The sequence below is a fragment of the Homo sapiens genome, chromosome 1 (assembly GCF_000001405.40).
Source record: "Homo sapiens chromosome 1, GRCh38.p14 Primary Assembly".
Taxonomy (NCBI): Eukaryota; Metazoa; Chordata; class Mammalia; order Primates; family Hominidae; genus Homo; species Homo sapiens.
In genome coordinates this window covers 222,483,169-222,500,943 of record NC_000001.11, presented here as the reverse complement: position 1 = coordinate 222,500,943, position 17,775 = coordinate 222,483,169, and the positions used below count along the sequence as shown (strand labels likewise).

Genomic DNA, 17,775 nt, shown 5'->3' with positions numbered 1-17,775 from the left:
TTTGCCCAAGCTCACCTGAATATTAAGACTGAGTCAAATGTTAGTCTGGTCTGACTTTAATGCTTGCCTTGTTCATGAGCACCATGCATTGCCTCTCCTATGCAGTTAAGCAGGTAGACAGGTGAGAGAAGAGCCCGTGTGATATCGGGGGAAATTCACCCCGATATTTCATGTAGGTTCTTTTCTATTTTCCCTGAGTGTCGGCCGGTCTGAGAAATAAAGGGAAAGAGCACAAAAGAGAGAAATTTTAAAGCTGGGTGTCCAGGGGAGACATCACATGTCAGCAGGTTCCATGATGCCCCGCAAGCCGCAAAACCAACAAGTTTTTATTAGTGATTTTCAAAAGGGGAGGGAGTGTACGAATAGGGTGTGGGTCACAGAGATCACATGCTTCACAAGGTAATAAAATATCACAAGGCAAATGGAGGCAGGGCAAGATCACAGGACCACAGGACCGGGGCGAAATTAAAATTGCTAATGAAGTTTCGGGCACGCATTGTCATTGATAACATCTTATCAGGAGAAAGGGTTTGAGAGCAGACAACCCATCTGACCAAAATTTATTAGGCGGGAATTTCCTTGTCCTGATAAGCCTGGGAGCGCCACGCGAGCCCAGGGCTTATTTCTTCCCTTATCTACGACTGTAAAAGACAGCCGTCCCCAAAGCGGCCATTTCAGAGGCCTCCCCTTAGGGACGCATTCTCTTTCTCAGGGATGTTCTTTGCTGAGAAAAAGAATTCAGCAATATTTCTCCTATTTGCTTTTGAAAGAAGAGAAATATGGCTCTGTTCCACCCGGCCCACAGGCAGCCAGAGTTTAAGGTTATCTCCCTTGTTCCCTGAAATTGCTGTTATCCTGTTCTTTTTTCAAGGTGCCCAGGTTTCATACTGTTTAAACAGCTTGTGCAGTTAACGCAATTATCACAGGGTCCTGCGGGGACATTCATCCTCAGCTTACGAAGATGACTGGATTAAGAGATTAAAGTAAAGACAGGCATAGGAAATCACAAGGGTATTGATTAGGGAAGTGATAAGTGTCCGTGAAATCTTCACAATTTATGTTCAGAGATTGCAGTAAAGACAGGCCCAAGAAATTATAGAAGTATTAATTTGGGGAACTAATAAATGTCCATGAAATCTTCACAATTTATGTTCTTCTGCCGTGGCTTCAGCCGGTCCCTCCGTTTGGGGTCTCTGACTTCCCGCAACACGTTTCTCTCTACTCACAGACTTCTGACCAAATGTGTGTGCAGAGTTTCTACACCAGTTCTCCAACTCTCTGGATACCAACCGCGTATCCCACAATTCCATTCTGACACTACCTAGAGTTAGCGCAGAACCCACAGGTTAGGGGCTCAGTCCCACAAGACCACCCTCACTTCAGATGCCAGTTGCAAGTCCTAGGTTGTCACCTGTATTTTGACCAACCAGTTAGAAATCAGGGTTTCCCATGACCCTCTTCTTGAGTTTAATTATTTACTAGAACAACTCACAGAACTTAGAAAAGCAGGTTTTTTTCTTTTCTTTTTAAGAGACAGTGCCTCGCTCTGTTGTCCAGGCTGGTGTGCAGTGGTGCAATCATAGCTCATTGAAGCCTCAACCTCCAGGGCTCAAGTGATTCTCCTGCTGCAGCCTCTCAAGTAGCTGGAATTACAGGGTTCCCACCACCACATTTGGCTAATTTCTTTTATTTTTTGTATAGATGGGGTCTTCTTATGTTGCCCAGACTGGTCTCAAATTCCTAGGCTCAAGTGATTCCGCCCACCTCTGCCTCCCAAAGTGCTGGGATTATGGGCATGAGCCAGCGCATCTGGCCACCTTATTTTCTATTACTGGCTCAATGTAATGGCTGCATCTCAGGAACAGCCAATGAAAGAGATGCACAGGACAAGGTAAGTGGGGAGGGGCACAGAGCTTCCATGCCCTCTGTTGGGCACACTACCCTCCCAGGACCTCCTTGTGTTTAGCAACACAGAAGCTCTCCAAACCCTGCTGTTTGGGTTTTTATGGAGGCATGATTGATAAAATCATTGGCCATTGGTAGTTGAGTCAATCTCCAGTTCCTTTTGCCTCCTGGAGTTCAGCAGGTGAGGCTGAAAGTTCCAAGCCTCAAAAAATGTGGTTGGGGCCAGGTGCAGTGGCTCACTCCTGTAATTCTAGCAGTTTGGAAGGCTGAGGCACATGGACCACTTGAGGTCAGGAGTTTGAGACCAGCCTGACCAACATGGTGAAACCCCGTTTCTACTAAAAATAACAACAATTAGCTAGGCGTTGTGGCACATCCCTATAATTCCAGCTACTCGGGAGGCCGAGGCAGGAGAATTGCTTGAACCCGGGAGGTGGAGGTTGTAGTGAGCTGAGATTGTGCCATTGCACTCCAGCCTGGGCTACAAGAGCCAAACTCCGTTTTAAAAAAAAAATGTGGTTGCTTTCTCTGGCAGCTAGCCCTCCTCCTGAAGCAGTCTAGGAGCTTGCAGCCACCCTGTTAGCTCAACAGCATCCCACATGCATTCTTACCATGCTGCAGATCTGAAAGACCTTAGAGGCCCTTGTGTCAGGAACCTGGGACTAAGACTAAATATCAAAACAGAAAATGCTTCTATTACCTCTGTCACGAAGGGCTTTATAAGAGCTTTGGAAGCTCTATGCCAGGAACCAGGGGCAGAGACCAAATGTATATTTCTTTTCTTATATTGGAGACAGAGTCTCACTCTGCCACTGAGGCTGGAGTGCAGTGATGTGATCATAGCTCACTGCAGCCTTGACCTCCTAGGCTAAAGCAATCCTCCCACCTTAGCCTCTCCAGTAGCTGGAACTACAGGCGTGCATCACCATGTCCAGCTGATTTTAATTTTAATTTTGTAAAGGCAGGGTCTTCCTATTTTCCCCAGGCTGATCTCTAACTCTTGGCCTCAAGCAATCCTTCCTCTTTGGCCTCCCAACATGTTGGGATTACAGATGGGAGCCCCCATACCCACCAATCACAAGGATCTTTATAAGAGAAGGAGGTAGGAGAGTCAGAATTAGAGAAAGTGATGTGGTAATGGAAGAAGAGGTCAGAGAGGGAGATTTGAAGATGCTGCACTTCTGGCCTTGAATATGGAGTCACGAGGTAAGTCAAGGAATGGGGGTGGCTTCTAGAAGCTGGAAAAGGCAAAGGAGCACATTCTGTCTAGAGCCTCCCCCAGAAGGAATGCAGCCCCTCTGACACCTTGACTTTAGCCTTAATAGACCTAGTTGGGCTTCTGGCCCCCAGAACTGTAAGATGGTAGATTTGTGGTGTTTGATGCCACTAAATGTAGGGTACTTTGTTGTAGCAACAACAAAAAATGAACATGAAGCTGGGACCTCATGTTACAGTTGCTCACGCCTGTAATCCCAGAACTTTAGGAGGCTGAGGTGGGAGGATCGCTTAAGCCCAGGAGCTTAAGACCAGCCTGGGCAACATAATGAGACCTCATGTCTAAAAAAATTTTTTTTAAAAGGCCAGGCGCAGTGGCTCATGCCTGTAATCCCAGCACTTTGGGAGGCCGAGGAGGGTGGATCACGAGGTCAGAAGTTCAAGACCAGCCTAGCCAAGATGGTGAAACCCCATCTGTACTAAAAATACAAACATTAGCCAGGTGTGGTGGTGGGTGCCTGTAATCCCAGCTACTCGGGAGGCAGAGAATCACTTGAACCCAAAAGGCAGACATTGCAGTGAGCCAAGATCGCACCCTTACACTTCAGCCTGGGCGACTGAGACTCCGTCTCAAAAAAAAAAAAAAAAAAAAAAAAAAGCCATGTGTTGTGGCATGCAGCTGTAGTCTCAGTTCCTAGGGTGGCTGAGGCGGGAGGATTGTTTAAGCCTGGGAGGTTGAAGTTGCTGTGAGCTGTGATTGCACCAGTGTACTCCAGCCTAGGCAATAAAGCAAGACCTTGTTTCAAAAAGAAAGAAAGAAAGAAATGAGCATGGTGGGAATGGGGACAGATGGCAATGTTAAGTAGAGCGGTCAGGGTTGGCCTCATAAGTGAATATTGAGCAAAAGTTTGAAGCAGGTGATGGAGCTGGCCAAGGTGCTGAGGGAAGAGCATTGTAGGCTGAGTCAACAGGATAAAGGCATTAGGAGGAAACTCTCTGGTGTGTCTGAGGCTCTGGAAGGAGGCCAGTGGAGCAAAGAGATAGAGGGAGCGAAGTCAGCGAGGAGGCCAGGGAGTTGCTGGGCTGGGATCGGTACAGATCGTGTAAGCCCTGGGACGCTATTGCTGGGGCTTTGGCTTTTACTCTGACTAAAATGGGAACCACCGAGGGCTTCTGAGCAGAGAGGCGACGTGATCTGTCTCCTGATTTAAAAGCACGACCTGGCTGCCAAGTTGAGAAAGACTATGGGAAGATTTGGGTAGAAGCATGGGGGCCAAGCTGTGGCAACATCCCGGTGGGAGATGATAGTGATCCTGACCGTGTTCACGGTGGTGGTGAGAGATGGTCAGAGCCTGGATACATGTTGAAGTCAGTAGGATTTCCTGACAGACTGGATGTGAGCTGTGAGAGAAGGCAGTGGTCAACGTTGAGTTTGATTCTGATGGAATTATTAAGTAATTTTAAAAAACACTACTGCCTTTCCCAATCCTACCAAGTAAAGGATGCTAGATAAAAGAAATCTCAAGTTAGGCCAGGTGCAGTGGCTCACACCTATAGTTCCAACAGTTTGAGAGGCAGAGATGGGAGTATGTTTTAAGGCCATGAGTTTGAGAGCAGCCTGGGCAACACAGCAAGATCTCCTCTCTACAAAAATAAAAAAAATAAATTTAATAAAATAAATATAGCCAGGCATGATGTACCTATGGCCCCAGTTACTCATGTGGCTGAGATGGGCAGATCTCTTGATTCTAGGAGTTTGAGGCCAGCTTGGGCAACATAGCAAGACTTCTCTCTCTACAAAAATGAAAAAAATGCCTGACATGGTGGTACTTGCCTGTATTCCCAGGTATGGGGGCAGCTGAGGCAGGAGCATCTCTTGAGCCCAGTTGGTCAAGGTTGCAGTGAGCTATGATTATACCACTGCACTCCATCCTGGGTGACAGAGTGGGACCCTGCCTCAAAATACAAATACAAATGAAATCTCAAGTCAGACCAGTCCCTTCTAGGCTATGTAGGCCTTGTAACCACATAGCTGCATGATCGGGTTTGTGTGGCTGTGGATGAGGAGACCCCTGTCCAATTGTTGGCTATGTAATCAGTTTATTTTTCAATATAGTAATCAAATATATTTCATCATACTTGATGGTCTCAGATATGTGTGGATTTTGGAATTCCCCTTGGAACAGGTTGTAACATCTTATTGGCTCCATAATTCCATAATTTTTTAAATCTGATCAGTTTTTAATAAGATCAGAATTGATATTAGACTACTTAATCAGTTTTGTTAATGAGAAAATGAAATTGTGTTGTTTGCATTTTATCCAAGATGGGTGTCATATTGGCTAAATCTCATCAATACTTGAACAAATGCAAAATTAGAGCTTCTTTATCATGAAACACGATGTAATTCTTGAAGAAGATGCCATTTCTTTTTTTTCTTTTTTTTTTTTAAGATAAGAGTCTTTCTCTTGTCACCCAGGCTGGAGTGCAATGGTGCGATTTTGGCTCACTGCAACCTTCACCTTCTGGGTTCAAGCAATTCTCCTGCCTCAGCCTCCCGAGTAGCTGAGATTACAGGCGCCCGCCACCATACCCAGCTAATTTTTGTATTTTTAGTAGAGATGGGGTTTCACCATGTTGGCCAGGCTCCTCTGGAGCTCCTGACCTCAGGCAATCTGCCTGCCTCAGCCTCCCAAAATTCAAGGAGTACAGATGTGAGCAACCACGCCCGGCCTCCATTTCTTTTTTGTAGTCTTTAATAAACAGCTGCTATCATTGCAGACTTGCTATTTAGGCACTTAGGAATTTTTCACTAGAAGGCATGCAAATAAAGACCATGGGCATTTGTAATGAATTTAGCATTCATTCTTTGACTACATGACTGTCCCCAGAGCTGTAACTTTATTGAATTTTTTAGAAGCCATTTAGCTAGCAACTGAGCCTAACCAGCCACTCACCGTCATTATTCAGTGCTCCTTTATTATTGTCTATTTCTCCTCCAACTTGGCTACACTCACAAAGTGATAAAAACTTGCATTTGTTTTCTTTCCTTTTCAGAGACAGCGTCTTGCTCTGTTGCTCAGGCTACAGTACAGTGACATGATCATGGTTCACTGTAGCCTCAAACTCCTGGGCTCAAGCGGTTCTCTCACTTCAGTCTCCCAAGTAGCTGGGACTACAGACGTGCCACCATGTCCAGCTAATTTTTTATCATAGAGACGGGATCTTGCCACGTTGTTCCGACTGGGCTCAAAACTCCTGACCTCAAGTGGTCCTCCTGCCTCAGCCTCCCAAAGTGCTGGGATTACAGGCAGGCATGACCACTTGTGCCCAGCCCCCTATTATTATTATTTTAAATAATAGCTTTATTAAAATATTCACATACCATTCACTTTATTTATTGAAATCTGCAATTCAGTAGGTTTTAGAATATTCACAGAGCTGTGCATCGATCACCACAGTCACTTTTAGAACCTTTCATTACCCTATAGAGAAATCCATACCCCTCAGCCACTACCTCCTACTCTCCCCACCTACCTTCACTCCCAGCCTTAGGCAACCATTGATTAATTTTTTTGTCACTATAGATTTGCCTAATCTGGACAAATAGAATTGTACAATATGTGATCTTTTGTGGCTTTTTTTCCCTCTTAGCACAGTGTTTTCAAAGTTCCTTTATGTCATAGTGTGTATCAATATTTCATTCCTTCTATGGCAGTATTCCATGGTAGAGACACACTGCATTTTGTTTATCTGTTCATCAGTTGGTGGATATTTGGGTTGTTTCCGTGTATTCCATGTATTGGTCATTATGAATAATGCTGCTATGAAGATTGTTATACAAGTTTTTGTGTGGACATATATTTTTATTTTTCTGGGATATATGCCTAGGAGTGAAATTGTTGCATTATAGGATGACTGTACATTTAGCCTTTTGAGAAACTGCCAGACTGTTTTCTAACGTGGCTACACCAGTTGGGTGCAATGGCTCACACCTGTAATCCCAGCTACTCAGGAGGCTCAGCTAGGAGGATGGCTTGAGCCCATGAATTCAAGACCAGCCTGGGCAAGATAGTGAAACCCTGTGTTGATTTTTTAAAAATCCAATTAAAATGACAGGAAAAGAAATACCCAAACAAAATGGTTACACGATTTTATGTTCCCACCAGTAATGTATGTGGGTTCCAATTCCTCCACATCTTCACTGACATTTTTTTTTTTCTAGATAGGGGCTTGCTCTGTCTCTCAGGCCGCAGTGCAGTGATGCCATCACAGTTCACTGCAGCCTTGACCTCCCAGGCACAAGTGATTCTCTCATCTCAGCCTCCTGAGTAGCTGAAAATTACAGGTGTACGCCACCATGCCTGGCTAATTTTTATATTTTTTTGTAGTGATGGGATTTTACCATGTTGCCCAGGCTGGTCTCATACTCCTGGCCTCAAGTGATCTGCGCACCTCAGCCTCCATAAATTCTGGAATTACAGGCTGCCACCATGCCCGGCCTTCACCAACATTTGCCATTATCTGTTTTTTTTTCTTCCTTTATACCTTAAAGCAGTATAAGAACAAGTGTCTTCAATTATAGGAAACAGTATAATCCCAGGGCATTGGGAGGCTAAGACAGGAAGATGTCTTGATGCCAGGAGTTTTTTTTGTTGTTGTTGTTTTTGTTTTTGTTATTGTTGTTGTTGTTGTCACCCAGGGTGACTCTGTCACCCAGCGTGGAGTGCAGTGATGGGGTCCACTGCAACCTCCTCCTCCCAGGTTCAGGTGATTCTCCTGCCTCAGCCTCCCGAGTAGGTGAGACTACAGGTACACGCCACTACTGCCCAGCTAATTTTTGTATTTTTGATAGAGTCAGAGTTTCACCATGTTGGCCAGGCTGGTCTCGAACTCCAGACTTTGGGTGATTTGCCTGCCTTAGCTTCCCAAAGTGCTGGGATTACAAGCATGAGCCACCATGCCCAGCCTGATGCCAGGAGTTTTAGACTAGCCTGGGCAACCTAGCAAGACCTTGTCTCTACAGAATATTTAAAAATTAGCCAAATGTGGTGGTGCCTGTGTATAGTCTCTCTCCCTCTCTCTTTTTTTTTTCTTTCTAACTTTTTGTGACATGGTCTGGCTCTGTCACCCAGGCTGAAGTGCAGTGGTGTGATCATGGGTCACTGCAGCCTGAAACTCCTGGGATCAAGTGATCAATCCTCCCACCTCATCCTACCAAGTAGTAGGGACCACAGGTGTATGCCACCCAGGTCTTGCTATGTTGCCCAGGCTGGTCTTGAGCTCCTGGCCTCAAGCAATCCTCTCACCTTGGCCCCCCACAGTGCAAGGATTACAGGTATGAGCCACCATGTCTGGCCCCTGCCCTGCCTATTGAGAACCAAAAGGAGGATCCAAATTCTCCTTAGCTCAACTCGAGCCATTTCCTGATTGCTTCATCAGCAAGGAGCTGGTTATTGGGCTGTCCAGGCCTCCCAAGCAGCACAGAAATGAGGTGAAGGAGTTTTCCTGCTGCTCCACTCTGTAAGGAGTTGGAGGGTGATGTTTACTCGTTTGCAGAGACAGATGCCTTGTAGGCACCTCAGGATGGAGAGGACCCTGATTCCAATGTCCTTTTTTTCTTTAGAAACAGGACCTTGCCCTGTCACTCAGGATGGAGTTCAGTGGTCCTATCATGGCTCATTATAGCCTCAAACTCCCAGGCTCAAGCAATCCTACCATGTCAGCCTTCCCAGTAGCTGGGACTACAGGTAAGCATCGTGACACTCAGTGAATTTTGTTTTTATTTTGTTGTAGAGATGGGACCTCAGTATGTTGCCACGGCTGACCTTGAACTCCTGCACTCAAGGGATTTTCCTGCCCTGGCCTCCCAAAGTATTGGTATTACAGGCATGAGCCATTGTGCCCACCGTCTCTGGTTCTTAACCTTCTGCCTCCCTCTTCCAGTTTTAAAGAATGCTTGTAATTACATGGGATCTCCTAGATACTCCAGGATAATCTTGTTTTAAGGTCAGCTGATGAGCAACATTAATTTTATCTGCACTCTTAATTCCCCCTTCCTATGTAATTGTGCTGTGTAACATAGGACATGAGCAATTGGTGGCGGTGGGGCTTATTACTTTGGCCACCACAGTAACTATTTTATGCCAGGTACTCAGCTAAGCACTGGTGAATTAAGCATGAATAACACACACTCCCTAATCTCCATCCATTCATGGGAGGAGCACTTCACCTGCCATGCTCCTGAGAATCTCGGGAGTCATAGAAGTCTTCTATGAGGAGGTGATGCCAAAGCAGACAAGTGACAGAGGAGTCAAAGCTAGCTAGGAAGGGAGTAGAGGTTTAAGGGGAAGCATATTATAAGCAGAGGATATTACCCACTTCAGAGACTCCCAGAGGAGAAAGAGTGTGCGTTGAAGGGGCAGATGAGGCTCAGTTGGACTCCATAGCAGATGAAATGGAGAGGGGCAAGCAGTGAGGCTGCCTTGCAAGGCAGGGCAGAGCAGGGGCTGTTAAGGAGTTTGGACTTAATCCCTGAGGCAAGGAGAAGTGATGTAAATGGAGGAGTAACATGATGAGATTCATGGATTAGAGACATGGCTCAGGCTGCTGTAGAGAAGGCACCAGGGAGAGCAGATGGCTCAATGGGTGTGCAGGAGACCTCTCACTGAGTTTAGGGAGAGGTTTTTAAAACAGAAGAAGTTTGAGTAATTTAAATGATGATGGGAAGGAGCTAAAAGTGGGGGATAGGTTAAAGATACAGGAAAGTGGGAGGAAGAACTGACAAGTGAGGTTCCAGAGACGGCAGGAGAAGAGGAGATTCCCATAGGGGGATTAACACTTTCTTTTCTTTTTTCTTTCTAAGACAGGGTCTCACTCTGTCGCCCAGGCTGGAGTGCAGTGACACAATCTTGGCTCACTGTAGTGTAGACTTCCCAGGCTCAAGGGATTTCTCCCACCCCAGACTCCCAAGTAGCTGGAACTACGGGTGTGCACCACCACCACACCTGGCTAACGTTTCTTTTTTTGGTAGACACAGAGTCTCACTATTTAGCACTGATTGGTCTCCAACTCCTGGCCTCAAGCGATCCTCCTGCCTAGGCTTCCCAAATTGCTGGGATTACAGGCATGAGCCACAATGACTGGCCTCTGCTAGTTCCGTATTCTCTAGAGTTGTCTTTACTTTGTGCTAGTGTGTCCCTCATTGTGCTGATCCTCTGTAAAAATTAATACCTTTTTTTATTTTTCGAGATGGAGTTTCACTCTTGTTGCCCAGGCTGGAGTGCAATGGCGCTATCTCGGCTCAGCGCAACCTCCACCTGCCGGGTTCAGGCGATTCTCCTGCCTCAGCCTCCCGGGTAGTTGGGATTACAGGCATGTGCCACCATGCCCAGCTAATTTTAGTAGAGATGGGGTTTCTCCATGCTGGTCAGGCTGGTCTCGAACTCCTGACCTCAGGTGATCTGTCTGCCTTGGCCTCCCAATGTGCTGGGATTACAGGCATGAGCCATTGTGCCTGGCCAAAATTAATACTTTTTATATTAAATTTACATATATATATACGTTTTTTCTTTTTGATACTGGGTCTCACACTGTCACCCAGGCTGGAGTACAGTGGCACAACCTCTGCTCACTGCAGCCTCCACCTGCCAGGCTCAAGCAATGCTCCTGCCTCAGCTTCCCGAGTAGCTGGGATTACAGGTAAGTGCCACCACACCCAGCTGATTTTTGTGTTTTTTGTAGAGACGAGGTTTCACCATGTTTCCCAGACTGTTCTGAAACTCCTGAGCTCAAAGCAGTCCACCCACCTTGGCCTCCCAAAGTGCTGGGATTACAGGTGTGAGCCATCTTGCTCATTCTAGTTTAAACTTTTGAGTGGTTTGTGTCTCCTGATTGGACTCCTACAAATACAGAATTGATGCTAGGAAGGGTACCAGGAGATAGACGCACACAGATGGGATTTGGGAATAGGTTTGGTTATCCAAGGAGCAGTGCTGAGCTCCTTGCTAATGGGATATGGGAGGCTGGTGATTTCCAGAAAGTGACCTCACAATGACTCAAGCTACCACATACTGTTGATTGTGAAATGCCAGTTGAAGCATATGTCCTGCGAGCTTAGGGGTGCTACAAGTTGACCACAGCAGCAGTAAAGATGACTCTGAAGAATGGCATGGGATGGATCCTTTCGAATGCATTTGAGCAGCGGTCTCCAACCACAGGGCCACAGAGCTGGAGGTGAGCAGCAGGTGAGTGAAGGGAAACTTCATCTGTATTTCTAGCCCCTCCCATCGCTTGCATGACCACCTGAGCTCCATGTCCTGTCAGATCAGCAGCAGCATTAGATTCTCATAGGAGCACAAACTCTGTTGTGAAGTGTGCATGCGAGGGATCTAGGTTGTGTACTCCTTTTTTTTTTTTTTTTTTTTTTTTAACTTTTTTTTTAATTTTTATTTTTTTTATTGATCATTCTTGGGTGTTTCTCGCAGAGGGGGATTTGGCAGGGTCATAGGACAATAGTGGAGGGAAGGTTGGCAGATAAACAAGTGAACAAAGGTCTCTGGTTTTCCTAGGCAGAGGACCCTGCGGCCTTCCGCAGTGTTTGTGTCCCTGGGTACTTGAGATTAGGGAGTGGTGATGATTCTTAACGAGCATGCTGCCTTCAAGCATCTGTTTAACAAAGCACATCTTGCACCGCCCTTAATCCATTTAACCCTGAGTGGACACAGCACATGTTTCAGAGAGCACAGGGTTGGGGGTAAGGTCACCGATCAACAGGATCCCAAGGCAGAAGAATTTATCTTAGTACAGAACAAAATGAAAAGTCTCCCATGTCTACTTCTTTCTACACAGACACGGCAACCATCCGATTTCTCAATCTTTTCCCCACCTTTCCCCCCTTTCTATTCCACAAAACCGCCATTGTCATCCCGGCCCGTTCTCAATGAGCTGTTGGGTACACCTCCCAGACGAGGTGGTGGCTGGGCAGAGGGGCTCCTCACTTCCCAGTAGGGGTGGCCGGGCAGAGGCGCCCCTCACCTCCCGGACGGGGCGGCTGGCCGGGCGGGGGGCTGACCCCCCCACCTCCCTCCCGGACGGGGCGGCTGGCCGGGCGGGGGGCTGACCCCCCCACCTCCCTCCCGGACGGGGCGGCTGGCTGGGCAGAGGGGCTCCTCACTTCCCAGTAGGGGCGGCCGGGCAGAGGCGCCCCTCACCTCCTGGACGGGGCGGCTGGCCGGGCGGGGGGCTGACCCCCCCACCTCCCTCCCGGACGGGTCGGCTGGCCGGGCGGGGGGCTGAGCCCCCCACCTCCCTCCCGGACGGGGTGGCTGGCCCGGCAGAGGGGCTCCTCACTTCCCAGTAGGGGCGGCTGGGCAGAGGCGCCCCTCACCTCCCGGACGGGGCGGCTGGCCGGGCGGGGGGCTGACCCCACCTCCCTCCCAGACGGGGCGGCTGGCCGGGCGGGGGGCTGAACCCCCCCACCTCCCTCCCGGACGTGGGGCTGACACCCCCACCTCCCTCCCGGACGGGGTGGCTGGCCGGGCGGGGGGCTGACCCCCCCACCTCCCTCCTGGACGGGGCGGCTGGCCGGGCGGGGGGCTGACCCCCCCACCTCCCTCCCGGACGGGGCGGCTGGCCGGGTGGGGGGCTGACTCCCCCACCTCCCTCCTGGACAGGGTGGCTGGCCAGGCAGAGGGGCTCCTCACTTCCCAGTAGGGGCGGCTGGGCAGAGGCGCCCCTCACCTCCCGGACGGGGCGGCTGGCCGGGCAGGGGGCTGACCCCCCCACCTCCCTCCCGGACGGGGCGGCTGGCCGGGCGGGGGGCTGACCGCCCCCACCTCCCTCCCGGATGGGGGGCTGACCCCCCCACCTCCCTCCTGGATGGGGCGGCTGGCCGGGTGGGGGGCTGACCCCCCCCACCTCCCTCCCGGACGGGGCGGCTGCCGGGCGGAGACGCTCCTCACTTCCCAGACGGGGTGGCTGCCGGGCAGAGGGACTCCTCACTTCTCAGACGGGGCGGCTGCCGGGCGGAGGGGCTCCTCACTTCTCAGATGGGGCGGATGCTGGGCGGAGGGTCTCCTCACTTCTCAGACGGGGCGGCTGGGCAGAGACGCTCCTCACCTCCCAGACGGGGTCGCCGCCGGGCAGAGGCGCTCCTCACATCCCAGATGGGGCGGCGGGGCAGAGGCTCTCCCCACATCTCAGACGATGGGCGGCCGGGCAGAGACGCTCCTCACTTCCCAGATGGGATTGCTGCCGGTAAGAGGCGCTCCTCACTTCCTAGATGGGATGGCGGCCGGGCAGAGACGCTCCTCACTTTCCAGACTGGGCAGCCAGGCAGAGGGGCTCCTCACGTCCCAGACGATGGGCGGCCAGGCAGAGACGCTCCTTACTTCCCAGACGGGGTGGTGGCCGGGCAGAGGCTGCAATCTCGGCACTTTGGGAGGCCAAGGCAGGCGGCTGGGAGATGGAGGTTGTAGCGAGCTGAGATCACGCCACTGCACTCCAGCCTGGGCACCATTGAGCACTGAGTGAACCAGACTCCGTCTGCAATCCCGGCACCTCGGGAGGCCAAGGCTGGCGGATCACTCGCGGTTAGGAGCTGGAGACCAGCCCGGCCAACACAGCGAAACCCCGTCTCCACCAAAAAAGTACGAAAACCAGTCAGGCGTGGTGGCGCGCGCCTGCAATTGCAGGCACTCGGCAGGCTGAGGCAGGAGAATCAGGCAGGGAGGTTGCAGTGAGCCGAGATGGCAGCAGTACAGTCCAGCTTCGGCTCGGCATCAGAGGGAGACCGTGGAAAGAGAGGGAGAGGGAGACCGAGAGGGAGAGGGGAGAGGGGAGAGGGGAGAGGGAGAGGCAGAGGCAGAGGCAGTACAGTCCAGCTTCGGCTCGGCATCAGAGGGAGACCGTGGAAAGAAAGGGAGAGGGAGACCGAGAGGGAGAGGGGAGAGGGGAGAGGGGAGAGGGGAGAGGGGAGAGGGGAGAGGGAGAGGCAGAGGCAGGGGCAGGGGCCTGTGTACTCCTTATGAGAATCTAATGCCTGATATTCTGTTACTGTCTCCCATCACCCCAGATGAACAGTCTAGTTGCAGGAAAACAAGCTCAGAGATCCCACTGAGTCTACGTTATAGTGAGTTGTAGAATCATTTCATTATATATTACTATGTAGTAATAATAGAAATAAAGTGCACAATATATGTAATGCACTTGAATCATCCTGAAATTATTCCCTCACTCCCAGTCTGTGGAAAAATTGTCTTCCACACATTCACTCTGTTTTTTGGTAGAGGCAGGGTCTTAATATATTGCCCAGGCTGATCTCAAACTCCTGGCCTCAAGTAATATACCTCTCTCAGCCTCCCAAAGTGCTGAGATTACAGGCATAAGCCACCACCCTCAACCAAGACTTTCTTAAACCAAATAAAAATTAAGTGAGATTACTTGAGCCCAGGTGGTCAAGGCTGCAGTGAGCCTGATTGCACCACTGCACTCCAGCCTAGGTGACAGAATGAGACTCTCTCAAAAAATAAAATAAAATACAAATTAACCCTTTATGACATTCCCAGTAACTTTCCCTCCTAAGTGTTCCCCACAAGTCTTTGAATTCTGTTTAATTTTCACATAACATTTAAGACATTTAAGAACTTATGTCTGTCTGTGTCATCCCTTTATGTCAAAAGATGTCTTTTTGTCACTTCCAGCTGGATCTACCATGAAAGACTTCTGAATCCAGGAAGAGAGACTGACTGGGCAACATGTTATTCAGGTACAAAAAGATTTGGACTGTAACTTAAAAATGATCAAATAATAGTGCATGCATCAAGTGCAATGGGAAGCTCTTCTGGAGAGTGAGAGAAGCTTCCAGTTAAGGTGACATTGAAGCCAAGTCCTGAAAGATGAGGAAGAGTTGTATGAGAGTGGGGAGGGAAGGGGGAGGTGGAGGGATGGGGAATGGGCTGGGATGGGATAGCGCAAACTGCCCGGGAAGGGAAACCAGCACTGTACAGATCTGAACAACGAAGATGGCATATTTTGTTCAGGGAATGGTGAATTAAGTGTGGCAGGAATGCTTTGTAGACACAGTAATTTGCTTATATGGAATTTTGCCTGAGAGACCTCATTGCAGTTTCTGATTTTTTGATGTCATCATCCATCACTGTCCTTGTCAAATAGTTTGGAATAGGTATAATGATCACAATAACCCCAAGCGTAATATTTCGTTAATTCTCACAGAATCACAGGTAGGTGCCACAGTTATCCCCATTTTATGAATGGAGTGATGAAGCCTTAGGAATAATGAATGATTTGCCCAAGCTCACCTGGATGTTAAGACTGAGTCAAATGTTGGGTTTGGCCTGACTTTAATGTTTGCTTTGTTCATGAGCACCACATATTGCCTCTCCTATGCAGTTAAGCAGGTAGGTGACAGAAAAGCCCATGTTTGTCTCTACTCACACACTTCCGACTGAATGTATGTATGGAGTTTCTACACCAAATTCTTCAGTGCTCTGGATATTAACTGGGTATCTCATGACTTTATTCTGACACTACCTGGAGTTAGCACAGACCCCACAAGTTAGGGGCTCAGTCCCACGAGGCCATCCTCACCTCAGATGCCAATGGCAAGTCTTAAGTTGTCACTGTACTTTTGACCAACCTGTTACCAATCAGGGGTTCCCATAACTGTCTTCTTGAGTTTAATAATTTGCTAGAACAGTTTATGGAACTCAGAAAAACAGTTTATTTTCTTTTTTTCTGAGAGAGAGGGTCTTATTTTGTTGCCCAGGCTGGTGTGCAATGGTGCAGTCATAGCTCATTGCAGCCTTGATTGTCTGGGCTCCAGTGGTTCTCCCACCTCAGCCTCCCTAGTAGCTGAGACTACATGCCTGCACCACCACATCTGGCTAGTTTCTTTTATTTTTTGTATAGATGGGGTCTTGTTGTGTTGGCCAGACTGGCCACAAATTCCTGGTCTCAAGTGATCCTCCCACCTCAGCCTCTGAAAGTGCTGGGATTACAGATGTGAGCCACCACATCTGGCCAGTTCATTTCTTATTACTGGTTCATTGTGAAGGATACATCTCAGAAACAGTCAATGAAAGAGACATGCATGCTGGATGCAGTGGCTCATGCCTGTAATCTCAGCACTTTGGGAGGCCAAGGTGGGAGGATCGCTTAAACTCAGGAGTTTGAGACCAGCCTGGGCAACATGGTGAAAACCTGTCTCTATAAAAAATTAAAAAATAATAATAATAACTGGTGTGGTGGTGTGCACCTAGAGTTCCAACTACTAGGGAAGCTGAGATGAGAGGATACCTTGAGCTGGGGACTGGGGAGGCTTAGGTTACAGTAAGCTGAGGTTGTGCCACTGCACTCTAGCTTGGACAAAAGAGCCTGATCCTGTCTCAAAAAAAAGAAAGATACCCAGGGCAAGTTAAGTTCGGAGGGGCACAGAGCTCCCATGCCCTCTGTCGAACATGCGACCCTCCCAGCATCTCCTGTGTCCAGCAACCCTGAAAGCTCTGCAAACCCCGTTCAGGGTGTTTATGGAGGCTTTATTATGCAAGCATGAGTGATAAAATCTTTGGCTGTTGGTGATTAAGTCAGTCTCCAGCCCCTCCTCCTCCTGGAGTTCAGTGCATGAGGCTGAAAGTTCCAAGCCTCTTATCATGTGGTTGCATGGTAATCAGCCCTCCTCTGGAAGAAATTTAGGAGCTTGCAGTCACCCAGTCATCTCAACAACATCCCCAAATGCATTCTTACCATGCTGGAGATCCCAAAGTTCTTAGAGGCTCTTGTGTTAGAAACCTGGGACCAAGACCAAATATTAAAACAAAAGATGTTCCTGTCACATCTATCACTGAGGTCTTTGTAAGAGCTTTAGAAGCTCTGTGCCACGAACCAGGGACAGAGATTAAATATATATTTCTTTTCTTTTTTTTGAGACAGAATCTCCTGTGTCATCCAGGCTGGAGTGCAGTGATGTGATCATAGCTCACTATAGCTTTGGCCTCCTGAGATCAAGCAATCCTCCCATCTCAACCTCCCAAGTAGCTAGGACTACACATGCATGTCACCCATGCCCAGCTCATTTTTGTAGAGTCAGAGTTTCTCCATGGTGGCCAGGTTGGCCATGTTGGCCAGATGGGGTCTTCTTTTGTTGCCCAGGCTGGCCACAAATTCCTGGGCTCAAGTGATCCTCCCACCTCGTCCTTGTAGAGATGAGATTTAGTTATGTTGTCCAGGCTGATCTCAAACTCCTGGGCTAAATCGATGGTCTCACCTCAGCCTTTCAAGTAGCTGGGACTACAGGCGCATACCACCATGTCGGGCTAATATTTATTTTTATTTTTTTCTAGAGGTGGGGGTCTCACTGTGTTTTTCATGCTAGTTTCAAACTTCAGGCCTCAGGTGTTCCTCCTGCCTTGACCTCCCAAAGTGTTGGGATTCTGGGTGGGAGCCACCATGCCCAGCAATCACAAGGGTCTTTATAAAAGAAAGAGAGTAGGAGATTCAGAATTGGAGCAGGAGATGTGGTGATGAAAGCAGAGGTAAGAGAGGGAGATTTGAAGATGCTTCACCTCTGGCTTTGAAGATGGAGTCAGGGGCTATGATCCAAGGAATGGGGGTGGCTTCTAGAAGCTGGAAAAGCCA

At 48.8% G+C, this 17,775-nt stretch overlaps 1 long non-coding RNA gene across 2 annotated transcripts; it reads left to right on the top strand.

Moving 5' to 3' along the window:
• The first annotated feature begins 1,879 nt into the window (after positions 1–1,879).
• On the top strand, positions 1,880–13,442 carry LOC105372956 (uncharacterized). Of its 2 annotated transcripts, none has more exons than XR_007066887.1 (3): positions 1,880–1,891; positions 11,159–11,366; positions 13,403–13,442. It is a non-coding gene; the product is annotated as an uncharacterized LOC105372956 (long non-coding RNA). The 2 variants fall into 2 exon arrangements; XR_007066888.1 differs by lacking the exon at positions 13,403–13,442 and adding an exon at positions 13,247–13,284.
• The last annotated feature ends 4,333 nt before the right edge of the window (positions 13,443–17,775 follow it).